Source organism: Homo sapiens, chromosome 20 (assembly GCF_000001405.40).
Source record: "Homo sapiens chromosome 20, GRCh38.p14 Primary Assembly".
NCBI classification, from domain to species: Eukaryota; Metazoa; Chordata; class Mammalia; order Primates; family Hominidae; genus Homo; species Homo sapiens.
In genome coordinates this window covers 64,193,616-64,219,652 of record NC_000020.11, presented here as the reverse complement: position 1 = coordinate 64,219,652, position 26,037 = coordinate 64,193,616, and the positions used below count along the sequence as shown (strand labels likewise).

The 26,037-nt window shown below is 54.9% G+C and overlaps 1 protein-coding gene across 1 annotated transcript in view, besides 1 other annotated feature; it reads right to left on the bottom strand.

The window, feature by feature from the left end:
• The window catches only part of MYT1 (myelin transcription factor 1), a 77,802-nt gene that overhangs the window by 22,601 nt on the left and 29,164 nt on the right, over positions 1–26,037 (bottom strand). Inside the window, exons 3-12 of the mRNA NM_004535.3 lie at positions 20,737–20,791; positions 19,731–19,761; positions 14,556–14,618; positions 13,853–14,100; positions 11,166–12,059; positions 8,313–8,447; positions 7,515–7,605; positions 6,006–6,119; positions 2,372–2,586; positions 618–742 (exon numbers count right to left, since the gene is read on the bottom strand). Of these exons, the coding sequence (NP_004526.1) occupies positions 618–742; positions 2,372–2,586; positions 6,006–6,119; positions 7,515–7,605; positions 8,313–8,447; positions 11,166–12,059; positions 13,853–14,100; positions 14,556–14,618; positions 19,731–19,761; positions 20,737–20,791 (1,971 nt within the window). The remainder of the gene's footprint in view (positions 1–617; positions 743–2,371; positions 2,587–6,005; positions 6,120–7,514; positions 7,606–8,312; positions 8,448–11,165; positions 12,060–13,852; positions 14,101–14,555; positions 14,619–19,730; positions 19,762–20,736; positions 20,792–26,037) is intronic.
• Positions 7,814–8,313: an enhancer, noted in NCBI's record as "H3K4me1 hESC enhancer chr20:62842693-62843192 (GRCh37/hg19 assembly coordinates)". NCBI's record gives its function as "activates a minimal SCP1, AML or CMV promoter by ChIP-STARR-seq in primed H9 embryonic stem cells {active_cell/tissue: H9 hESC(primed)}" and the evidence as "EXISTENCE:reporter gene assay evidence [ECO:0000049][PMID:30033119]".

The following is a 26,037-nucleotide window of genomic DNA, read 5'->3' as shown; positions in this document are numbered from 1 at the left end:
TCCATTTGAATCAAACGTACAGAGTCCAGAACACTGGTTCCCATAGAAGGAAGCAGGACAACGGGGACAGACAGGCAGCGAGAGGGAAAAAATCCAGCTGCCATTTCCTGATTTCCCATGAAGGGGGCCCTACAATTCCTCTTGCCTCCCAACAGCACAAAAACCAGTCCCTCAGGACATGTCATAAACACGGGTAAGACTAGGTCCTCTGAGCAAGGAGAGTGTGTCAGCAACCACAAGACTGCGGGAAACACGTGTGAACAGGGCACGTGCACCGCCCTGGAGTCAGAAGGAAACACATGGGCATGTGTGTGCACCACCCTCAGGCTCAGAGGGAGACACGCGGGCGCATGGTGTGCACACAACCTAACACGTGGGAACTTGTGTTCGCAGCCCTTGGTCCCCCTTCACTCAGCACACCAGGTTCTCCTGGTGGACCCATCCAAGCTCTGCGGTCCTTGGGGCCATGGCCAGGAGGGAGAAAAAGTTAAGAATGAGAATTGCCAGCTAGGCACAAGCCATTCCTAGGGACATTTTGTGCAGAGAGCAGGTGGGCCTGACTGCAAATTCCACCAACTCACCTCTCCCAAGAAAGGCTCTGTGGCAGATGTACTAACCTTGCTGGGGAGGTCCTGTGGCTTCGTGCTGAGGTTCTCAGGCATCTCCCAGCAGCGCGTGGAGAGGTTCAGGATGGCAGTGGCAGCCATGTGTGCAGCCTCGGCGTCCTGCGAGTAGTCAAAGCCTGCAGAAGAGGATGAAGTGCTCCTCACATAACTACTGGAGGGGCTGTGCCTGGGGGAAGAGGCCTTTGGGAAAGGTTTGGCTGCAAAAAGGGAACAACACCAGGCTGATATACAACTTGAAAAGAGGCAGCAATGCAGACAAGTCAGTGGGGAGGGGGCACTTTGGGAGGGATGGGAGGGCCCAGGGCACAGCTATATCGAAGTGGGCCAGGGGCTTGGCCACCCGTCCCAGTCCCAAGTCCTCACACACCTCACTCCCACCCACCCTCCTCTAGGGGACTGAGGAGACAATCTTGTTTCTGGCTCAGTGAAAATTTGGGCAAAAGGAGTAAAAGCCTCCAAGACATTCCAGCAGCCCTGATATTTCAAACAAAAATAACTTGTCTATCAGAAACTGAAGCATTCTGTGAATAGGATGAGTGTTTGCCATATCGCCCAAATAGGAAAATTTTGTCCCATGATCTCAAAAGGGTGTACCCATATTTAGGCTGACTTGGTGTCCCCGGTAACCATCACTGCCTTAAAAAAGTAACATTATTGCTCAAATGAACATGACAAATGAAGGCACAGAATGTTATCTTTTCTAGCAATTGTACTGTAGCTGCAAAATCACTCTCATGCACGATGTTCTCAGCAATCACGATGTCACCAGTATATCCAGAAAGGTCTAGATATATTGGAAAGCTTATCGTGAGGTCCCCCTCTCCACTGGCACCATTGCATTCCCTCATCCAAGTAGGCATGTGTGCCTGGAGGCAGGAAGTCCTCCATCCTAAAGAGCAGGTTCTGTCAAAGTTAGGAAGAGAGGCTCACACCCCACTGGCAGCCGCATCAATCAGTACTTTTATTATTCTCATGTAGGAAACTCGTCACGTCATGTTTGGGGCTGACAACATCTGCCCCGCGATGCCACTCCCAATCTCATGTGTACACTGAATGCTTTTCCATTTCGCATGCACTTCCAGGGCTAATGGGCTTATTCCACAAATTAGGGCAGTAAGTGACAAGACAAGACAGAAAGGATTGTTCTTAAAGATTTGTAGGAATGATTTTTGTCAGTACAATTACCCAGAAAATTTGTTACTAATGTCACAGATAACACATTGTATCCAGTAAGATGGTCCCCACCAGGAGAGCAATGGCTTCCTGCCAGGGCACTGGGCCCAGCCCCGCAGTCATCTGGCCCCACCCAGCCCACAGTCTGACCCTCCCCAGAGGCAGGGCTGGGAAATGGACAGCCGGCTGCACTGGGATTAAACAGGTAGCAGGAGGACAGTGGGGAGAGTGGCGTCTCCCAGTGTGAACCATGCTGGTGGGGTTGCTCTGAAGTCTTTGGACACACACGCCCGTAACGGATCTGGGTTTTGTTTCACAAATAACTAGGAGACACATAAATGTTAATGGTGAACATGAAGGTGGCAGCAGGAGTGAGATGCAGGCCCCAAGAAAGCCACCACAGTGCCCACTGGGACAGCTGAGACCTCCAGCCTGCATCGTGGTCCTCCCATGAGGGTAGAGTTTCCCTCCCTAGTAGCTCCTCGAGAGGGTCCCTCCTCCACTGCCCCTTGAATCCTGCCCCTCCCAGGAGCAACACAGAAGAGAAACAAGAACAATTCTCCCCAACTTACATTGAAAGGCTTTAGGTGAGGTTTCGCTGGTCTGAATCTTTGGGGCAAGCATGCGTTTGCCAAAAACCTGAGCATCGAAACTTGCGTAGTCAAAGGTGACCTTGGAGAACTTCTCCAGCTCCTTGGCCAAGTTGGCCCTGGGTGTGGCGGGGGCCACGTTGGGCCGGTAGCTCCCATATGGAGGGACCTCGAGCTGCTTCACGAAGCACATGGGCCTGGGGTGCAGTACAGGGATGCACAGCCAGTGAGATGGGACCTGGGGATCCCGTGCCACCCTCCCCAACCCCAATCTGCAGCCCAGGCAGGGGCCTCACAGCGTCTGGTGAGGAAGGAGACTCAGGAAGACACTACCCCTGCATATTCCACCACTAAAGCTGGGCAGAGTTCCACCTCCCAGGGTCAAGGGCTCCCAGAGCAGGCCGGTGAAGAATGGCCTGCAGGGAGGAAGCAATAGGACCCTCAAATAATCAATGGCCTGTCCTGCTGACAGCATCAGATAGAGGAGGGCCTAAGATTTTCCCCAGAACTTAGGAGAGCAGGTTTCAAACAGCTCAGCTGCAACTGGAGTGAGTATCAGGCAGGGCCAAAGAGTAGCATAGCCCAGGACAATAGCAAGACACTCCAAGGCAGCATAACCTAGAACTCCCCAGCAAGGAGGAAGCTGAGGAATCTACAGGAGACGCTAGTTGTATCAGGTGCATTTCTGAGGAGTGGCCTCAGGGCCAGGCCTGACCCTTCTTCATTCAGCCAGGGACTCAGCCCTCAGCTGCCCTCTTCTTAAAGCTGTGTTGAGGTGGACCCTCAAGGAACTGTTGGAAGGGTCAGCAACAGCCACGAAAAAGCTACTGCAAGCATTCAGTTCACTGCCACTAATGCTCTTGGAATACTTCAGGATTTTACATGCACAAAAGATGGCACGAAGAAACTGGCATAGAAGGCACAGGGGCAGGAAGACTGGTGGTAGATGCTGGTGACCACACAGGCACAGAGGAGCTTCTGAACCTGGCAGCTCAGAGAAGAGGAGATCCTGGCAAGCAGCCATGGCTTTCTTTGTTCCTGTCTGGACCAAGCAATGACTTCAGTCTGGAAAGTGTACAATCAGTGGAATTAAGAAGGAGCTGACAATGACAGCCTCCAAGGTGCTGGGTGCTACGAGAACTTAAGTGTGGACTAAGAACAGAGCCCAGCACAGAGGACCACCAGGCCAGCCCTGCAACCACGGCCAGCTCTGATGGGCCTGGAAGAACTGAACACTACCAGGACGTGGGTGTTTTCTCCTTCTCCAGGAAGGGTGGGAGCCCCAGGATGGATCCTGACCCCAGTGGCAGATAGAAAAGTTGCAAGAGTGAGGCCAGGAGGGAAAAAACTAACTTTAAACTTAACATTGGGTCAGGTATGGTGGCTTATGTCTATAATCCAAGCACTTTTGGAGGCCAAGGCAGGTCTGTTGAAGCCAGGAGTAAGAAACCGGCTTGGGCAACCTAGTGAGACCCTCTCTACAAAAAAAAGAAAAAAAAAAAAACGCAAAAAAAATAGGCAGGTATGATGGCACATCTGTATTCCTAGGTACTCGGGAGGCTGAGGTGGGAGGATCACTTGAGACCAGGAGTTTGAGGTTATAGTGAGTTATGATTGAAACCACTGCACTCCAGCCTGAGCAACAGAGTGACACTCTGTCACTAAAAATAATAATAATAATAATAAGCTTAACATTGGTACCACCGTTGATGGCTTCCTTGACCAAGGCTTCAGTCAGAATCTGTACACTTATTGTCCACAATGCCAACGAAGCTTTGCAAAGCCCGTCCTCACACCCCAAAGTTCGATAGCCAGAAATGTGGGCTGGATAGAATCAAAAGGGCCTAACGGGAGGCCTCCTCCACCCTAGCCACAATCTCTCTAGCGTTCAGTGAGTATTCACCATGGGCTGAGGGCGGCAGAGTGTCACTTGAGCCTCATGAGCGACTTAGTTTGTTGTCCTACTTTTATAAGTGAACAAACTGAGGTCATAGTCCCAGGGAGTGCAGTCTCCAAAGTTGGAGCCTGTTTGACACCCCTGCCTGGCCTCACACGGGGGCCAAATCTGCGGTTTGACATTTTATCGGTGATTTAGATCAAAGAGGGAAAGGATTGAATTAGCAACTGACAGGAAGCTGGAGGGAACAGCAAATAAGATAGAGGAAAAAAGCAGCTTCAAACCATTGTGAGAGCCAGCTGGTGGAAAGCAGCCTGCTGGGACCTGCAGGGCTGAAGGTGCCTGTGTGTGGGATGGCAAGCATGCCCACAGAGCAGGAAGGCAAGTCTCTGTGCTCTGCCCAGAGATCCCACGTGTGGGAATTGCACCTTCAGAGGAACACTCTGGAGCAGACCAGGGAAGGGCCTGGGCATGACACAGCCAAGGTGAGCAGCGAAGATCATCTGGCTGGAACTTTGCCAATTATGTGCCAGGAAGGGCCGGGGTCAGGTGGGCCCCGAAAGGAGGCGGACAGTGGAAGGGGCTATGCAGTCATTCACGCTCACCCCAGCCGGGGTCTCCTACACTCTTGTCTGGTGAGACAGATATGGAACAGGGGTCTGAGAGCTGGGGAGGAGGAGCTGTGTGTGAGTTCTAGTTCCTCACGGGAGTGGGGAGCAGGGTGTCTGCAGGTGAAGACAGGAGCAGTGGAAGTGTCCTCTTCGACAGTGGGTACCGTGGTCCAAGGACTCAGCTCCATAGAGGAGAGACTTTGAAGCCAGGCAGGATGGGCAGGGTGGCCTTGGGCAACTCTCTGAGCCTCTGGCCTTATTTGTGGCACTTACTTCTTAGAGCCACATGGAAGGAGGGGACACTAATGGGACACATTCTGAAAGATCCTTATTGATTAGAGCCAAATTTACACATGCACACACACATGGACTTGCACGCACATGTAAACATACTCGCACATATGCGAACACAAACAGGCGTGTGAACATGCACACACACGCTCCCACGTGTTCACATACACATGGACTTGCACGCACATGTAAACATACCCGCACATATGCAAACACAAACAGGCGTGTGAACATGCACACACACGCTCCCACATGTTCACACACACCTACTGTGATCTCAGAACCTCAGGGGCCACAAAGCACTCTGGGGAGCAAAGCCTGCACCCACCCTCTTCCTTGACTTGGGGTCTATCCCTGGGGTCGGGGAGGGACAGGCAGGACGGCCAAGGATTAGTGGCTCATGGTGCTTCCTGGACGTCCGTGGTCCTTGGCTGGTGCAGTCTGCTCTTTCCAGACAGGACCAGCATCTCCACAAATGAATCCCCAAGGGGCCTCAAGTGGTCACATCAGACGACTCCAAGGAGGCAGAGCCCCATGTCGGAGGCAGAGGCAACTGTGCAGGAGTTTGCGCTTTGGCTGAGGCACTGGCGAATGTGGTAGACATGAGACTCTGTCCTGTGTGGCTCCAAAACTGCCCCGCAGTTCTGCTCCTGGGGGGCCCGGGGCATGTGCACACTCACATGCACGTACACTCACATGCACGTACACTCACACACATGCACTCACACACATGCACATACAGCCTGCGGGAGACTGAGAAGCCCTCTGCAGGCATTTGGGAGGCAGCCTCTTCAGTTCTGTGGCTCATCTCACTCACCTGAGGATCCGATCGGAATTGGAGCTACTCTTGGAAGGATCTCCTGTCTGCGGCTGCTGCTTCTCATGGGATTTGGCTAATTTTTCGGCGGCAGCAATGGGACACCCAGACAAACTAGAGGAAGGAAGAGGAGGGGTTTCTGAGCCTTCCCCTCCATGCCTGTCCTGTCCTGGGTGTCTGTGTGTGTGGGTGTCTCACGGCAAGGTCATTCAGATGTGAGAACTCCAGGTGAACTCCAGAGAAGCCCAGAGCCGGGAATAACCCTGTCATTCTGCAGGACAGGGGTTTTCTCTCTGGCTCTGTTCTTGAGCCCTCACAGTACAAGCTGCCCAGTCAGTTTCTGTTTTGGAACATTCTATGCCAAGGACACACAAAGATGAAATATATCCTAAAGGCCTTGAAAGCTCTGGGCAAAGATGCCTCCTCTGCATGGGTCTGGGAGACAGGCTTGCCCTCACCCCCTTCCTCTCCCTTCCCAGCTTGCAGGGCTGGATTCTGCAGCCCTCTCTGGCGCTTGTTCTGTTAGCTGCTCTGGGGCAGCCCAGGGCCCCACTTGGACCACAGCCTGGGCACTGACCCTGGATGACACAGGCCCAGGAAAGTACTCAGTCTAAGACACGGAGGCAGCAGCTTCATCTGTCAGAATAAAGTTAACTGTGAGCTCCAGCGCCAGTCCCTCAGCCAGCCCAGGGAGGTGACGTAATGGGGAACTGGCCTCTTTTCAAATGAAGTGACCTCAAAAGCTCTGGCAGTCCTTTCAGCTGAGCATAAGCCTGCTGGGGGAAAGCATATCCCACCGAGGCCACGGCCACCCATGGCACTTAGGGTAAGGCTGGAGGAGTAGTCCCCCCTCACCATAGAAGACCAGTCAACAACTACACCTCGAGGGTGGTCGGGAAGCTTCACTTCCACCTGGGCCTCAGAACTCCCACAAAGCAGCCCAGAGCACAGTCCTGGCCTGCCGAGGTTACTGTTCATGTCTGCCCTTCCCACTCAGGAGCAAGAGCCAGTGTGCAGAGGTTTTCTGAATGTGGGTAGGACACAAAGTATTCACCTGGCTCTCACATGGTTGTTGTACCTCTCTTCACAGAGGGTGCATTGCTCCCTCCTCTGCAGGCCGCCCCCTGCTCTCTCGGGAGCTCGTAGGGTTAAGGCAGCAACACCACTGGGTGACTGCACCTCCAGTTGCCACTCTGCCCTCACAAAGGCCCCTCACCGCCCAGGTGTGCCCTGACCTTGTACCCACTCCTCAGGGCGGCAGGCTGGGAGAAGGGTAGCACACAGGGAGCCCCAGGCAGGCCAGAGCCCCGTCCCAGGTCACGGGCTCACGGCCCAGGCAGGGACACACAGGCCCAACCCAGGTGCCCTACCCCACGTGGAGCCCCCCACCACGGCCCCCACCCTGGCCCCCACCACGGCCCCCACCCTGGCCCCCACCACGGCCCCCACCCTGGCCCCCACCACGGCCCCCACCCTGGCCCCCACTACGGCCCAGCTCAGTCCAAGTACCTTCTGTGCGTGTTGCGGTTGCTGTTCACGTGACCCTGGCCTGTGCAGCCAGGAGTGGGGCACTTCAGCACGTTCTCATGCATGGCTAAGACTGTAAGAGAACAGGGGGTGGAGGGAGCCGAGGCTGTCAGAGAATCTGGGGAGCGCCAGCTGTGTGGGGAGCACAGGCTGAGGAGGGTGCAGGAGCCTTGTCCAAAGGCTGCTGCTTGGTAGGCAGGTGGGGGACACAGCAACGCAGGGCAGCTCCAGCCCCCAAGAGCCTGCAGACACAACTCCCCACCCTCAGCCTGGTCAGGGCATGCCCCCCACCGCCACCACCACTGTGGTCCCTCCCTCCTGCGGCAGAAACCAGACTCAGCTTTAAAACCTCTCATTCTGTGGTTTGCTCCTTTAAATTTAATTTTCACAATTACTGCTTCTAGCCTAAACATAAGAACAAGTATTTGCTTCCTAAGCTTTCAGGGCACAGAGGTTGCTGCAAGAAGACCTCTCCCTTCCCAGCTTGGATGGCACTAGCCTGTCCCCCTCCCATCGATCTGTTACTGTGGGCTCTGACCCGGACTGGCGTCTCTAGGTAGACAAATGGGCTGGTTGCAGGGCCCCAGCCTCAAAGGGCTCAAGTTTGGGCTGAGGGAGTTTGTGGGGGAAAGCGGGGAGATGTAAGGATGAGCATCTGGACAAACCAAAGGGGAAGGTTATGGCCCTGGGCAGGCCACGCCTCCCCATAGACACCACCCAAACACCACAGAGGCAGCGTGAGCTTCACAGTTAGGGCTAACGCTGCACAGAGCTACTCACTCTCTGGGGGGATCCTATCCTTGTGGGGACAGCCAGAAAGGCTGCGGTGGTGAGGGTACAACCCGGTAACGTGGCCAGTGCCATCACAGCCTGGTGTTGGACACTTGATCTCACGCTTCTCAGCTCTTGAAGGATCTAAAACACACAAGTCACATCAGTTAGAGCCAGGAAGCTGGGTGGTGAGCAGAGAGGGGGCAGGGGTAGCTCAGGAACCCTCTCTCTGGCTGTCCAGAGAGAAGGGAGGCGAGACTGCCCATGAGCTTGAACAGGGACTGGGGCTGGACAGTCAGGAGACCCTGAAGAAACCAGCCCACACTGGCTGCCTGTGCGGAAGCCCTGAGGCTGCCCTGACAATCCCAAATAGCAGTTTGTGCAGCGTTTTAAGGAGAACAACCCAGACGGCCGCTGGAGTCCTCTTTCCTCTCTCCTCTGACAGTGTGGAGGCCTCATGGGTCAGCCTTCTGCCTAGAGAGGTCAAGGCGTTTGGCAATATTCCTGCCAGGAGATATCCTTGGGATTTGACAAAACGAGGAAGACAAAGGAGTTGAGTAACTTATCCAAGGCTGCATGACTAATCTATGCCTGGGCAGAAATGTAAACCCAAATCTCAGTTATCGACCTCTTCTAGCCTCTGCAGGTCCAGGCCGGTCACTATAGAGTATAGGGACCAGCAGGAACACGGAGGACCCTCAGAGCAGAGCTGACATCTCAGTGAAACACCTTTGGACGAGAGCTGTCCCCTTTGGGAGGGTGCAGAGGTCACAGAGCCAAACTCAGAACTCCCACCTCAGAGCAGGAGGGTCCCAGGAGGGGGCTCCAAAGGGAAGGAGCTCTTGCTCTGCTGCCCCAAGTTCAAAGGAGTCAGACTTCCACCCATGTGGACAGGCAGGGGTGTCCTGAGGGGCTTCCAAACCCGTGCCCAACACCGGCCTCCTGGGCTTGCCACCCCTGTCCCACGGCCTCTGTCCAGAATTCTCGCAGCATCTGTGCCCCAACATCAGTCCCTCAGAACCAGAACCGCACGTTCACGTTGCACAGACACTCACAGCCCAGCTGGGCACTGCCTGGTGTTCTCAGCTTGGCCACCTGTGTCACCCGGGGCCGTGTCCCTTTGGGTCCATGCACTGAAAATCTATCCCTGAAGGCAGGATGCCTTGCATCTGGGTCCTCCTATGTCTGTCCCACAGGTCTGAGACCCTCAAAAACCTGGGCCTAGGGCTGTCACTTGGTGTCTGTGTTCCTCATATGTGTCCCACCAAATTCTGCGCTGATCTGTGCGGCCCAAGCACACCACAGCCAGGCTAGTAACCACCCCGGGCCCTTGACACCTGTCCCTAAGTCTCACCTTCAGCCTGTGTCTCTTTGTGCCCATGGCCCCACAAGGCCGGAGCATGACACTGCCGACCTAAATCTGGGTCCCCAAAGAGCTGTCCCGCCATCTGGGTTGCCCTAAAGGGTGTCCCCGCAAAGCCATTCTTTGGGTCCATCTCACCCTGAAACCATGTCCCCACCTGTGTCCCCTTAGCATCTTTCCCCTGAGCTTGTCTCATATGCCTGGTGTTCCCGGAAAACATGTCCCTCGTGTCTCCACTGACCTGCCTATCATGCCCCTTGAATTATGTCTCACTCAGGTCTGTCTCTCCCATGACCCAAGTGCATCTTCCCAGGGTTGGCAATTCCGTGTCTCCTGCATTTTTGGTTCGTGGCTCCAGCACCTGAGTCATCTCCCATCCCAGTTCTCTCTCCTTATCTGCTCCCTCCCTGGTCTCAGCTAACTCTTCCTGGGGGCACTCATTGGAAGAGCACCAAGAACTCCCACTGCCCCCGTCCACCTGGAGAAGAGATGCAGGACTAGACATGGGGAAAAAAGAGGCCGAGATCAGGGCAGGTCCCTAGTCTTAGGAGAATAGAGGCCAAGTGCCCAGGTGCAGGAGGCCCTCCGCACCAGGCCGGCTGGGTCAAAGCTGACCTGTCCAAGGCCTGGCCTCCCTGGCATGGCTCACTGAGGGAGCAGCCCCTGGCCAGCCCTGCTCCCCAGACCCCTGTCCCAGGAGGAATCTGAGATGGGCAGTCAGCAGAGCAGAGCCAGCCTGTTGTCCAGACCCTGACACCCCAGTAACAATGAAGGCCGTAACCGTTTACTCAGGATTCGTCCTCAGACCTCAGCACTCCAGGCTCCCAGCTGCTCCCCAACCACATCAGCTGCTTCCCAGCTGCTCCCCAACCACGTCAGCCCAGCCCCAGGCCCCTCCAAGCAGCCCTCCTTGTCTATCCTCACCTCAACATCAGCCACTCCGTGCGATCAGGGGATGGCTCCCCTGTACCCTGCACACTTTAGAGCCAAATCCAGAGACAGATGCAGAGCCAGCGGCAGGCTGCTCCCTCTGAGGAGCAAGGGCACCCCTCACATCTGCCTGCTGGTCTCCACCCCACGAGAGGATCAGGATGACCCAGCATGGCTGTAGGAAACAGCGGGTTCTGTCATAGCACAATCCCTGCCACGAGTGTGAGTTGGGGTGGAAGGGACAGGACGGTCCCCACCCTCTCCAGACCCCAGATGCTGCTGTGACCAGTCACTGTGGGTGGGTCACTGTCCCTCCCACCTCCTCTCTCCCACCTGGTTCTTTCTCACACGTCTCCGCTGTGTCTCGCTCCAGATCGCTCTATGTAAAGCAGTGTGGGAACCCATTTGCTCAGTATCTGACCACAGTCTGTGTCATGTATTTGTCCTTTTGTCTGCTTTTCTGCCATCCCCCAGCCCCCTGTCCTAGAAGGGCTCTCAGCCTGCATCTGCACACCTGGGGCAGGGGTGAAAGGATGAGTCTGCAGGGCCAGGCCACCCCTGAGCCCTACCTTTACTGTAGTAACTCTTCCGCACAGTGTCCAGGGGCTTTGCTGCCTTCCCTGGCTCTCCCAGGCCCAGCTGGCTCTGCTCGGCAGGCGGGCAGCCCGGCTCGCAGACTGTGCGCACCTGTTCAGCCTTCAGGGCGATGGCCTGCTCCAGGAGGCCCAGGTTTCCCCGGGTCATCATGTCCTGCATCTCCGACTCGTCAGTGACTGTTGACTTCCGGGAGTGGGTGTCCTCGTCCTTGTCATCATCCGAGCGGACCTCCACAATAACAGAGTACTCAGGCTTGGGACTGGGTGATTCTGGGCCCCGGAGCTCAGGGGCCTTCTGGGCAGAGGTGTGAGAGGTGTCTTCCTGAAAGATCACATCAGGAGCTGCCTCCTCCTCCTCCTCTTCCTCTTCCTCTTCCTCCTCCTCTTCCTCTTCCTCCTCCTCCTCTTCCTCTTCCTCCTCCTCTTCCTCTTCCTCTTCTTCATCCTCCTCCTCCTCCTCTTCCTCCTCCTCCTCCTCCTCGTCCTCCTCTTCGTGACTCAGGATGCCTTTCTGCTTGCTGGACTCCTCACTGGCTGCATCCTCCAGGGACTGGGGACACAGGTCCTGGGAGCGCTCGGTGGTGACTTCGACGACCTCCTCGGCATCCTCTGGCTGGATGAAGAGGCCCTTTTCACCCTCCTCGCTGGCAGCTCCCTCTGCAGCCTCCTGAAGCAGGTGCACAATGCCAGGACCTGGCTTGGCCGCCTGGCCCAAGTCCTCTTCCACCAGGGTCTCTTCAGCAATTTGACCCAAGTTCAGGAGAGAAGTTGCGATGATTCCCTGGTAGCTGCTGTAGCTGCCCTTGGAGGAGGCAGTGGCGCTGCCGATGGGGTTGGATCCAAAATGGGACTTGACGGGGCTCCTTCCTGCACAAAATCAAAATCAACGTGGGGGCCAGAGAGCACGTGGGAAGACTCCAGGTCTCCAGTCCCCAACACACCCACCACCCCTCCACCTGACCTACCACTCACTCTTTATACGGGAGCCAAGGGGAAACATGAAACTCCAGAAGTGGGGATTTGGTATGGACCTTTCTGTCAACCCTTCTGCCTGAATCCAGAAATCACGGTGAATATATTTTAGGAGGCAGGTCATGGGCCACTGATGTATTTTTTAAACTAAGAATTACTTTGATACTTTTTCTTAATGTTCCTCTCCCATCACGTTTACTTTCCCAAATCAGATAAACCTGCATTGTATACAATGGAGCTTAAGCAGCAAGTCAGATTTTAAAAAAATAATAATAATTGTTTCATAATTGAAAATCAGTAAATAAGAATGGGCTCGGTGGCTCATGCCTGTAATCCCAGGACTTTGGGAGGCCGAGGCGGGCGGATCACCTGAGGTCACGAGTTCAAGACCAGCCTGGTCAACATGGCGAAACCCTGTCTCTACTAAAAATACAAAAATGAGCTGGGCGTGGTGGTGCACACCTGTAGTCCCAGCTATTCCTTGAACCAAGGAGGAGGAGATTGCAGTAAATCAAGATCGTGCCCCTGCACTCCAGCCTGGGCAACAGAGTGAGACTCTCTCAAAACAAAAACAAAACGAAACTAAGATATGGTAGGTGCTCACCACATGCAGGCCCCGTAGGGTTGTCAGCAAGGACACCTGGGCCAGCACGTCCCACAGTGGTAGGAATGGGCCCTGCCATCCACCTACTTCGGAGGGGAAAGTCCAAGCCCAGGTTGACAGCTGAACCCCAGACGCCCTTCTTGATAAGAAAGCAGGAAAATGTGTGTCTTTTCTACCTGGGATCTAGGACTATGTTGATTCCACGGGACAGCGCACTCACTCCAGAGCCCCCCAAGGGAGCTGGGGTTGAGGACCCTCTCTGGCTTTGCTTCTGAAATCCATCTCAGACCCTTCCCCACTGCAGAAGCTTGGGGAGTGCTGGGTGAGTGGTGGGGATGGTGGGGGGAGTGGACCTTGGGCCTCATCTGACCCCAGGTCTCTACAGATCTGCCAGGGCTCTCAGGGGCACAGACCCCTCCCTCCGGGACCCAGGGGCCAAAGCACCTGCTTCATGCACTTTTGCCAAGGGCTAGGAGCTCCAACATGGCAGTCCTGGTAGACCCCACAAGGAAGTGGGGGACTCGTCTGCTTTCCTCCTTCCCCTCTTGGCCTCCCCGGGCACCCCGTCTTCAGAGGCTCCATCTGGTCCTCAATCACCTGAAGCTCAACCTGAGGTGTTTCCTCAGCATCTGCCTGTGAGTACCTCAGGGGAACGCAGACCTCTCACCCATGCCCCCAGGCAGGTCTCCCAGAGGGCCAGGCAGAACAGAGGGCCAGTCTAAGATCCTCCCTTCCCCACTTACAGACACACAGAGACACAGCCTTGTCTGTCTCTCTCATATACATGCAGACACACCTGCCAAAACACACTACAACTGCACACACACACACCAGCCCCGTGTCTCTGTCTGTCCTGCCTCTCTCCTACGCACACAGTGTTCACACACAAACACACCACAGGCCCCATAAACACCATGGGCAGACCTCTCTCCCAGGAAGCCCAGCACATGTTGGGACAAGACATGCCTTGTTCTCAGGAAGGGCTTTCTCTTGCCCGGAGTGAGCCCCTCCCCGCTCACAGGCTGCAATTCTCCAGGGCCACACTAAGCGCCCTTTATTCGGGGAAGAAAGAGCGACAAAGCACCTTCAGCTGTCTCGGGGCGATGAATCTCGTCCTGTCCTGACGTCTCAGCCTCGGCCCCCTCCAGAGTTCCTTCCGATTCATCCGAAACAGAGGCGTCCTTCACCTCAGTGTCCTCACTGCCGTCGCTGTCCACACCATAGCCCTCGTCCAGAGCCAGCTTCAGGGGGTGTGACTTCCTCTTGGACACCAGGTGCTCAGCCTCAGCGCCCTCCAGCTTCCTCTTCTTGGCCAGGGGGCAGCTCTGTAAACTGGGAGGGAGGAGTAGGCAGTGGAGAGGACCAGGCTAGGGCCACGAGAGGCCTCAGACACCCCATGAGCCCCTCCCGAGGGTCCTCCCTCCCTCCCTTCCCCACAGACTCATCCAGTCCTTGCAGGGAACCCGGACAAAAAAAGCAAAGTGCAGCACTAGGGGGTCAGATGGTCTGTCTTCGCCCACATGGCACGCCCATGGCCACACGGACCTCCATGCTAGAGTGGGAAGTCGCTGCCTCGCGGGAGGTCAGATGGTCTGTCTTCCCCCACATGGCACGCCCATGGCCACACAGATCTCCACGCTAGAGTGGGAGGTCGCTGCCTCGCAGAAGGGTCAGCAGCCTGGCCTTGGGAGCCATGGAAAAAGATGGAAAGTTCTCCATCTGCAGAGTGGGCAGGGGCTCCAAATCTACCGCCCAGGAATCTCCGTGAGATCCAAGGGTCCTCTTACCTTCGGTGCCTGGAGTACTTGCCCCGGACGTGCCCTGAGCCTGTGCATCCTGGGGTGGGGCAGCTGAGGGGAAATAAAAAGGCAAGGCCACATCAGGCGATGGGCTCAGATCTCAGAGCCTGTCGCAGACCTTCACCCTGGGGAGCAGAATGTCTCCAGACGATTCACCTCAGAATGGCTGCCTGCAGTTTGCTGAAAATTAATAACTCGCCCCATTCAAATAAATAAATGGCTCATTACAGTTTTACGAGTGTTCAATTAAAGACTGTGTATACATAAGAGCAAGACTTCTAGCGCCAGAGTCTCCCAGACCGCTCCCCACGGCAGGCATTCCACTAGCTGCCACCAGGTTTCCAGGAGCTTGGACACGAGACGCTCTGAGGTGCCCTGAACACGGCACCCCTCTCTAAAGAGGTCCCAAGTCCAAAGCACAGAAGTTGGCATTCTCTGTGGCCATCACTAATGCCATAAGGCCTATGGCCCTCGAGGGTAACAGTCTCTGCATTCCCTGCCAGCTGTGACCTTCGTGCCCCAGCAAACGGAGCCAGGACTGACAGGCAGAAAGGAATCTGTGGCCCAAGCCACAGACAGTGGTGAAGATCCCACCAGTGCCTGTAGCTGGTGTGGGTCCCAGCTTCCACGCAGGGAAAAGAAGCCGGGAGGGCCCGTGAACCAGGAACCAACAGCATCTGCCTCGTGGAAGACTTTTGGGCTGTGCTAAGAAGGGCAGTTTGGGGAGGGGGTGACACTGACCCTCCTGCATCTCTCACCCTAGAAGCACAAGGCAGGACACCCAGGAGTTCCTCTTCCTTAACCATCATCTGTCTCCCTATATAACCAAACCAGCAGGAAGCTCTGGAAACTTCTGAGCATGAGTACTGACTATGCCAACCAACGTGGCGGCAGGACCACAGCTCCCACAGCAGCCTCAGGCACAAAGGGGCCAGTGTGGAGTGTAAGGCCAGAGTTCACCATGTATCAGGCTCCTGTGGGCTGTCGGATGCATCCACGGCTCAAGGACTACAAGGAGCTGCCATTGTAAGACCCAGACGCCTGTGCCAGGTCACCTAAGGCAGGTGGGAGGGGCAGGCCTGCGCTCCTTGTGGGAAGAGAGAGGCTTTCCTGGCCAAGATGGGAAGACCTTGCTTTTAACAGGACTGGCATTGTGAGTCTGAGCTCTTTCCAAAACCCAAGCACATCTTCCGGAGCCTGTGAAGGGAGGAAGGTAAGGGCTGGTGCCCCCATACCTGGGACCCGGGGAAAAGAACGCCATCCCCAGTCTCTATCCAGACACCTCTGATCGTTTCTAATTCGACTGATCACAGGCCTGACTGCAGACAACTGTGGGGCCCAGTGGGCTTGCAGGCCACCCTCCCCGACTACCTCTGGGAGAACCGTCAGCAGAATCCAGGCCTTACCCTATCCCCTGGCTCAACAGCAGCCATGGGGTGGGGGAGGGGGATGTTCTCTGCAGCCTTCCAGGGTGGGGTTTTCAGTGTGTTAACAAGAAGACAGAGAGGGAGGGAAGGAGGGAGGGAGGAGGGAAGAGGGAACCCAGACGGGAAGGGAGGGGAAGAGGGAGGAAGAGGGAGAGAGCGAGAGAGGGAGGGCACACCACACTCGACTGGGGGCTCCCTTTCCAAACTGAGGGAGTTGCCGCCGCTGCCACCCACCTCTCCCTGCCTCTAGTCTCTTCTAAAATCCAGGCCCACACTTGCTTTCACTCTTTGGAGAACTAGCTTTGGGACTTTTCACAAAAAAGCTCCTTGTTAATGGGGATTTGAAGCTAAGGTCCCAATTAGCCGATGACATCACTGAGTGAATCAGGCAATTAGGTGACAGCTGCTGTGGAGGCCTGTGGGGACCGGACTGCCCTGAACACGTCACCCTCAGCTCAGAAGAGTCCTGGTCCCCAGGAAGGTGGGCCTGCACCTTCCGGCCCCAGCCTCAGAGGGTGTGAGACACGGCTGTGAGCCCAAGTGCGTGGAGCGGACAAGGCCGCTCGGGGACAGGAAGCTGGAAACCCCTTAGATGCCTGCTCCCCACCCCACAGCCGAGTGGACAAGAGACCCAGCCAGGGCCTCCAAGGGTGTCGTGCCAGCAGATGCCAGCCCTGCAGTTCACCTGCAAGCACACTCAGCTCTTATTTCCTGATGTCCTCTGGGTGCTCAGGGCCAGAGTTGTAGGGAGAGGAAGACGGCCAGGGCTCCAGGACTCCCGAGCCTCTTTTCTCCGGGAGGAGGGAATTCCCCAGCCTTGACTCCCCAGCTCTGACTAGGGCTGGTGTCAGAGATGTGAGGAAAGGATGCACGTGAGGCTGGGAAGAGGGTGTGGCCCACAGTCACCCCTCAGCTGGCATCCTGCATGACAGCTCTGAGGGACCCAAACTTGAAAAGTAGGCGTCAAAGGAGACAAGTCAGGAGAGGAACTGAATCCCAGCCTGGAGCCCCATGCTTCAGCTACTAGCCTTTGAAGACACTGCCTTCCCTGCCTTCCCTCCCTCTCCTGGGGCAGTCATCTGGGTGGGAGTTGGCCAGTGGCTCAAGGAGGAAGGCGCCAGAAGAAGAAGGGTGAGCTACAGACGTGTTCTCTCTCTGAACTTGGAGATGGTCCTGAACTCGGTGTTGTCAGCGCCTCGCTGTCTCAAAGATGCTAACCCCAACCCTAACCTTCCCTAGTCTTCGCCTCTGGCAGAGCCAGTCTGAGGCCATGTGACAACAGATGGACCCAGGCAAAAATACAAGCTGAAACGTCATCAGTTCTCCCGATGGGGTGAAAGGAAAAACCATCAAACTGCTTCTTCGCTCAGGCACTCCCAGTGGGCTCCGAGGTCGGAAATAGCAGCTCAGGGTCCTGCTCGATCCAAGTCCAACCTCTCCTCAGCTCACCTGGTAAACAACCAATGGACTGTCTTCCTGGGAGCTCTGCCTGAGCTGGTGGGGAGGCGAGCTGGGGTTAGGGGCACTGCAGGCTGTGAAGTTCTGAGCCAATGCAGTGTTAAGTCATCCACAGAGAAAGTCCTGCACACAGGGGTTCCCGACACGCAGAGGTTCCCGACACGCGGGGGTTCCCGACACGCGAGGGGTTCCCGACACGCGGGGGTTCCCGACACGCGGGGGTTCCCGACACGCGGGGGTTCCCGACACGCAGAGGTTCCCGACACGCGGGGGTTCCCGACACGCGGGGGTTCCCGACACACGGGGGTTCCCGACAGGTGACTCTGTGTCTGTGAGCTCATCCAGTGCCATGGTCTGCACACAGGACGCGATGCTCCTCTCACAGACCACAACGGTGCGTTTTCTGCGTGGGTCATGCTTCCTGTTCTGGTACCCACGGTGTGGCCCCCACCAGGACAGAGGTCTCGTCTGCTTGTCCGGTCAGAGCCCAGCGTGTGCTGGTAAACAGGTCTCTGGGAGGGGGAACATCATCAGTCCATTTCTGTGGTGTAAATGCTCCCACGATGGCTGGGGCACGCAGTCAGCCAGCACGAGCCACAGGCATGCCCACGTGAAGCGTGTGGCCAACAGATGTTTGAGAATACAGGAATGAATGGTACCTTCCGTGCAGAATGTATTTGATTCCTTGGAACATAATCTTTGTCCTATTTTACTCTAAGCATCACATTGCATGTTAGCAATGAAGAATTGCTGAAGAAATTATTGTTGGAACACTAGATGTCAACACATTTCCCCTAGTTTCTCCATTAAAAAGTTTAAGGGTCTCACTATTACCAAATATGTCAGTTGAGACCACAAGGCTCATGATGAGGGCGTCAAAATCCAAATGCTCACAGAACCCCTCACTTAGACTGGACAGGTCCTCTCAGAATGTTTAAAAACGAACAAATCTATTTGAGAGTCACTTTTCCTTCTGCTGTTTCAAAGCTACAAGAGAGCACCCTGCCATTTGTATTTGCCTTTTCGACTTCCTCCACACTCCATCTGTTACCAAAAAAGCCTGGAGTTTCCTCAACTCCTGTGCCTCACTCACTGCACCCTCGCCTGGGATTCTCCTCCGTCTTTGTCTCCACCGTGTCCCTGGGCGACTCCACGTGGCACCTCCTCTTCCCTTTACTCGGGGTCCTTCTGAGCATCTCTCGCCGTCGCAATCACCGCTTCTTCAGCAGGCTGGCCAAGCAGGCAATGTCTCCCTTCCAGGGAGCCGACCCCTGTGCTTCCGGGGACTGTGTTCTGGGGAGCACCCGGTGTGATGCTGAGGACCCCAGACCGGAAGTGCTGGCACACGACCTGTTTGGCTGAGCTTCCACCCCACCCCTCCCACCTGTTACCCAGGGTGGGGCTTCCAGCAAGTAGCACATGCGATTCAGCTCTTCTGGTTAGATGAAGGTTAACCCCTGAGTCCGTTTCCCCACTTCACAAACAGGATAATAACATCACCAGGCAGTGCTTCCATGACCTTCCCAGAGATCAAGACTGTGATGTGTGACTGACGCAGAGCCTGGGGCTTGCAGCACCCCAACTCCCTCCCGTAGTCCTCCCCCTTCATCTCCAAGTTACGGGGCCTCAAGTGTCAGAGGGACACTGTCTTCCTGTCCCACCTCTGCAAAAGGTTTACAAAGTGAACTTTGCAGTCCTCTCATTTTCCTGATTGGCAGAAGCCATCCACTCTTCAATTGTATGCTGAACAGTAAGATGGTCCCTGCCCTGAGAATCTGTATCCCTGAGAAGCAGGAAGGAAACGGTCACAGAGCTCAGCCAGCCGGGTCATCAGCACACAGAACTGCTGTTTGCATCCCGAGCCAATGGAAGACTCAGGATGTAGAAGACCCCTTCTCTCATCTCATCCCCGAACTGGGCCTCCAACCATCTGACACAGAAGCACTTGTGAGGGTCCGGTAAGAGAGCGGCTTGTTTTCGGTTTGGGGGACCGCAGTGACAGTCCAGGTCCTCGTGGTGACCAGGTGTAGGCACATCCGTGTCCTTGCCATGATGCTGGTGCGCCACATGATGGGGCCAGGACAGAGGTGAGAACAGATAGAGATGGGGCCAAGATAGCTGGACACGTGGCCAGGAGAAAGGCAGTCTCCTTAGGGAAAGCAGGGGCTCACCAGGGGTGTTTGGTCAATCCAAGAAGACCCCGTTTGGGACATTTAGGATATCTCCAGGGTCACAGGCACATAGACGATGCTTGGTGCTAACAGGAAGACTTCCTTACCTGAGGTCTGCAGCTGTGGTCTCTGGGGGTCCTGGGAAAAAGACAGAAACAGGGAAAACATGTGGGAATTGTGATTTTAAAGGCTCATTGCCCTAACAGCATAAACTAAGTTAAACAGCCGAGAGGTTTGCCAAGGACGAGTGGAGGCAAATCTCAGTGAGACCTGAGCCGTTTCCCCAGGGCGCTCACCCTTTCCTGACCTCCCAGAGAGTCCTCCAAGGTCAACAGAGTGAGCTGCTCCCCCAAGCCTGGTGCTCGCCGCAGAAGCTCCCCTGAGCAGCCTGGCAGTTTTACAAAGTGGGACAGATGCTCCACCTCAGACAGGATCTCTGGGACCTCAGGGCCAGGGATGGTATCTCTTTCTCTAATTGCAGATAGAAGTCAGCTTTTGGCAGGAAACACAAACCACCAGATCAAGCTGGACAGAGAAGAGAACAACTGGACCGAGTTACTGGTCCTTCAGTGATGGCTGCCAAGATGCACGGGGCTCTGACCGGGGCAGGCACACCTGAGATGCTTGGGCACAAGAGGAAGCCCCCGCCCGTATCAGGGAGGTAAGTCTGGCCAGGGGTTGGGGCTCAGATCCTAACAGAGTCAGCCTCCTCTCCTCCCACTGCACTTCCAGCTCAACCCAACAACCTCCTATGCCCCATTAGCACCAAGACTGATCGCCTGGGAAGGAAGGGGGCTGGCGGTGGAAGGCTGGCGGCCTCTCATTTCCAAACAGAATGGTCTCGTAACTGAGCCTTGCTACTCCCACTCCATGGAGCTGGGTCTACCTCAACATTTCTGCCCTCAAGGCAGGTTCATCTGGGCCAAAGGCCCCTCAGCAGCCCTCTTAGATGCCAGCTTCAAAGCTCAGCAGCCCTGAGGATGAATGAGGCTGAAGAGGCCTGAGGTCCCCAGGGCATCTCTGCACATGTGTGGTTAGGGGTTTGTGCTCCTGAGGAAGACCGCGGAGGAAAGTGGCATTTACAGCCCTGGAGGAGGGGAGGGCGGCACTCACCTCGCAGGGCCTTGGATCGGGTGCGAGCTCGCTTGTCTTCATTTTCTAAGCTCATCTGCAAGCAAAAAACCACGACGTTAACAAGAAAACCCAGCCAGTGCCTCTGGAGTACAGAGCCATCAGGAATGTCTGGCCATTTTCTGGCTCAAGCTTTGACAGCAAAGGTGATTTTGGGCACAGAATGACAAGGATGGGCTCACAGGACAAGAAAGGCCTGGGGCCAGGAGCAGCAGGTGGGAGGGTGTAGAGAAAGGACCTTCTACAAGGCTTGGAAGTGTCCCATCAGCATGTCCCCGGCCTTGGCAAGGAGGGTACAGTGCACCGTGCCCCCAGGTTTGCACCTGCCAACAAGTGCTGAGGCATGGGCCCTGCGCCACTGAAGCCTGATGAATGTCCGTATGTTATCCAAGAGGGTCTCCTGGCCCGACACAGAGCAGCACCCACTGCTCACCTGGTCAGGCAGGTGCTGAGGCATCAGGGCAGGTCGCTCACCACAGACTCAGCCACCAGCGGCAGTGCTGGGTCGTCCAGTGGCTTCTGACCCCAACGTGTCCCCAGAGCACAGCTTCCCATGGGCCCTTTCTTCCCACTACAGCAGAAGGCTTTTTTTTTTTTTTTTTTTTTTTTTTTGAGACGGAGTCTCGCTCTGTCGCCCAGGCTGGAGTGCAGTGGCGCGATCTCGGCTCACTGCAAGCTCCGCCTCCCGGGTTCACGCCATTCTCCTGCCTCAGCCTCCCGAGTAGCTGGGACTACAGGCGCCCGCTACCACGCCCGGCTAATTTTTTGTATTTTTTTAGTAGAGACGGGGTTTCACCGTGTTAGCCAGGACGGTCTCGATCTCCTGACCTCGTGATCCGCCCGTCTCGGCCTCCCAAAGTGCTGGGATTACAGGCGTGAGCCACCGCGCCCGGCCCAGCAGAAGGCTTTAATGCCCCTCACGCACCAGGGTCATCCCGTGAGAAACAGGCAACCTGGAGCGGCCCCAGCCCATATGTTCTCCAGGCCTCGAGGGCCTGGCTGCCTTGCCTGAGCCTATCGGTGTCCCTCCCCACCTGTGATCCTTGAATCTGACCACCCTCTGTGGGGACACTGCCCACAGCATTGTCCGGCGAGGGAGTCATGGGGGAGCCCCCAGGAGGGTGACAATCACAGAAAGGACATGTGGGGCAGTGGTGAGGGTCACACACAGCATCCTTGTCCTGTGTCACTCATGACAAATCTGGGCAGGCAAGTAAATCCTACACACTCCATGCTATGCAAAACATCCTTCCCGGGGAGCCACACCAGGCGGGGGAGGGCACCTCTAGCCGGACAGGGGAGGCCCAAGAGGAGAGCACTGGACTCCACCACCATCACCTGTGGTCAGGAAGGGGAGGCAGCAAATCCACACCTGTCCCAGGCCACAGACACCAGAGCTGCCAGGGCTCTATGCGTGAGGTAGTCAAAGGGAAAGCAGGGGAGTGGAAAGAAGTAGCAGAAGAAAGGAAGAGAGGCAGCAGGAGGGGGCTCAGAAGCCCCCACGTCTTAAATGGGGCTTTTGCTCCTGAAAGCCAGAAAAAGAGACAAATGTCTACAGAACCACCTGGGAAGAAAGAAAAAGGAATTCCCCCAATTAGTAAGATGAAATTTGCAAATTGAACCTCCCCCATGCAGCAGCACTAACATACAATGATGTATGTGATTTGTTAAGGAAGAAAAATCAAAACCTGGGTAATTTATGCAACCTGCCGACTCCAGGCTGTGGAGCACAGTGCTGTGAGCCGTGCGTTTATTACAGCCTTCCAATAGAACGGAAGACAATTACTACAATTTCTATTTTTAAAGCGGAGGTTCCCCATGGACAAATGGCTCACATTTAAAGTGAATAGAGGAGCAGGTGTCACAGGGACTTCATTACATTTATGAGCCTTCAAATGTCGTCTGCTCTGAGCCCGTGTGCAATGCCTTCCGATGCAGGACGTACAATGGGACTTGTGCGGTGCCTGCACTCAGCTGAAATGCAATCTACGGCTTTATTTATTTATTTATTTATTGCCAGTTTTCCCAAGGATATTGGCAAGCATTCTGCTAGGTTAAAGCGTGCCTTGGCAATTTGGATTTCCTGCAGATAAATTATTCAAAGAGCAGAGAATAGAGAGGGTTGCAGGGATGTGTAATGGGCACTGCTTGAAAACTGTGAGCTCCCGTTGATGAAGCTGACAGCTCTGCCGCTCCTTCTGCTGAGCACCTTTTTACCATTTGCAATTTATCTGCATTGACTGGTCAATAAGCGAGAAGTTCTCTTAGGAGCGTGTAGCTTTGATTTTTAAAGGGAAAAAAACTGAACTACCGAAGAAAAAATAAACCAGGCTCTTTAATACGAGAATGAACCCGTAAGAGCTGGGTGACTTGGGACACTGGTTTCTGAGCTATTTGAAATCAGCAGTGCCGGCTGACGCGAAAGCATCTGGACAAAACCAGCACTGCTTGATTTACATCACTTTTCTTTTCGAAAGAAGTCAAAGCACTTCAGAGGTGAGTTCTCTGCTCTCCTCCTGCCGCAAGATCGGCACCACGATGTGGTAGATGGAGAGCGGGTGCTGGGGGCGGCCCTGTGCCCAGCACCACCCAGGCTCACCTTGGTGATCCCTGGACGGCAGCCCCCCAGACCTTCTGCCCCCACCACACAATGACAGCTGGGCCCTAAAGGGCAGCTCAATGATGCAAAGAAAATTAAACACTTCTCAATTTTTCATTGATTTTTAAAACACACTTTACTTGTTCCAAACACAAGCCAACCAGGTCCCTTTTTTGCGCAACCCACAGATAGCCCGGTGACCTCTCCCCTTGAGAGTGAAAAGGCAGAACGACCCCATCACCCACTCTTACTGCTGGGCCGGCAACCTTTCTCAAGAACGTCTGCTCTGTTTCTCCAAATGCCAGCTTCATTCTGCCACTGCGAGCATGTCTTGAGGCTCTAATTAATATTTCAATAGTTCTGCCTTCGATAGGAAAACCATGAAAACTGTGGGGAGGAGAATAATTCATAAATGCAAATACATTGTATATTGCCAAATTAACCCAAGAGAACTGTCTCTTTGTCCATCCATTTAACTTGCTTTCTTAGTGCCATATAAAAGCAGTCTCCTCAAAAGTGTGTTTTTGCTTTGTTCTGTTTTATATTTCTGTTTAGTAAAGTCAGGATTAATCATGTAAGCTCTTTTGAAAATATACATGGTTCTGGCTGGGCACGGTGGCTCACGTCTGTAATCCCAGCACTTTAAGAGGCTGAGGCGGGTGGATCACTTGAGGTCAGGAGTTCATGACAAGCCTGGCCAACAGGGTGAAACCCCATCTCTACTGAAAATACAAAAATTAGTTGGGTGTGGTGGTGCACGCCTGTAGTCTCAGCTACTTGGGAGGCTGAGGCAGGAGGATCACTTGAACCCAGGAGGTGGAGGTTGCAGTGAGCTGAGATTGCACCACTGCACTCCAGCCTAGGCGACAGAGTGAGACTCCGTCTCAAAAAAAAAAAAGTATACACACACACACACACACACACACACACACACACACACACACAGTTCTCACCATGACATGGTACGAAGACCAGCCCCTTTTCCAGACTCATCTGCATGCTGGCCTGGCCAAAACAGAGTGCCCTGAGTTGGGTGTTTACAAACTCAGGAACCAAAACAAGCCAATGCAGTAAGCAATCTTGAAACCTAGAGGGATCTGCGCTGAGGCTGCAGCTGTAACAAATCCACTCAGAACCCAGAAACAGGGCCGGGCATGGTGGCTCACGCCTGTAATCCCAGCACTTTGGGAGGCCGAGGCAGGCATGGTGAAACCTGACTCTACTAAAAATACAAAAATTAGCCGGGTGTGGTGGCGGCCGCCTGTAGTCCCAGCTACCTGGGAGGCTGAGGCAGGAGAATCACCTGAACCCCCGAGGCAAAGGTTGAGGTGAGCTGAGAACACGCCACTGCACTCCAGCCTGGGTGACAGAGCAAGACTCCGTCTCAAAAAAAATAAAAAATGAAAAGAACCCAGACACATAGCCAGTAACAAACCACTCGTGTCTAACCTCTAAGGGGAAATGGTAGACTCAGCTTCCAAAGATATCAGGGTTGGAGATTTTCCATGAAGCCCAACGGGCTTTGTGCCAACTTCCACCTTTGCCCCCAGAGGCTGCGTCTCCCCACTCCTTCCCGGGCCCCAGCTCAGGGTTACCCATTTCTCCTCACTCACTCACGGACTCCCTCTCTGTCTCTCTCTGCCTCTTTCATTCCTTTTTCATGCTTCCTCCCAGGACAGGGCCCTCAGAGCTGAACAGCTTCCTCCCTCAACCCCCATCACATCCCTTCTGCACCAATGGCCCAGGGCCAGTCAAAGGACAGAATCCTGGCTGAAGCCTGGCCCCAGCAGGAGGGTGTCCTGGCCCCAGCAGGAGCTGTTCTGGCCCTGAGGGGCACCAGCCTGGCATTCCAAGATTTGTACATCACCCCAGGGAGGCAGGGAGTGCTCAGGGGAGAGTTCAAGAAACAGAGAGCTCTGCTAAGGGTTGAGAGCCAGGTAGGGATGGGGAGGGTGAATGGATCAGTGACCTGAGGACATCTGGGGTGGGAGGCACTCCAGAGGTAGAGCTGGGAGCATTCTTAGGTGGCCAGCACCCTGCCTCTTCCCAGCTCCTCTCAGTCTCCACCTTGTGCCTGTTTGTTTCCCTCACAGTCCTCATCTCAATCTGAAATGAGCTCATTCATTCATGGTTGTAAGGTCATTGTCTCTCCTCCAGACAGCTGCTTAGTGCATGTCATTTAAGGATGGGTGGATGGACAGGTGGATGAATGAATAAATGGGGACAGTCAGAAACATCTCTGAAACCCTGGGGCTGGGGTGTGTGGAGAGCCGTGGTCAGAGGGGCTGCAGAGAGGCCATATGTGGGAACGCTGAGCTGGGGGGTTCCGGGCATTCTGACACCACGGGGGCCATTCACCCCAGCGCTGGGCCAGAGAAGGAGACACGGTAGTGTTTTATTTTATTTAAAATGTGTTCTGACAGCCAGCAAATCTGGAGAATTAGAATGGACTTACAACTATTCTTTAAAAATCCATAAAATTACATAGGTTATAGTGTCTCGGTGGGACGGTTGAGCCTCTTGCATAATGGTTTTCCTCCCAGAGACCTAGAAGAAGAGGAAGAGCACCTGCTGAGTCCCAGCGGACCATAGGCAGCCACTTCCCAGAAGGAAGGGGCCAGTGAAGAGTGGGGGGTGAGGAGGTGGCCAGAAACTGGCTGTCCCCTACCCTGCCTGGCTCCAGC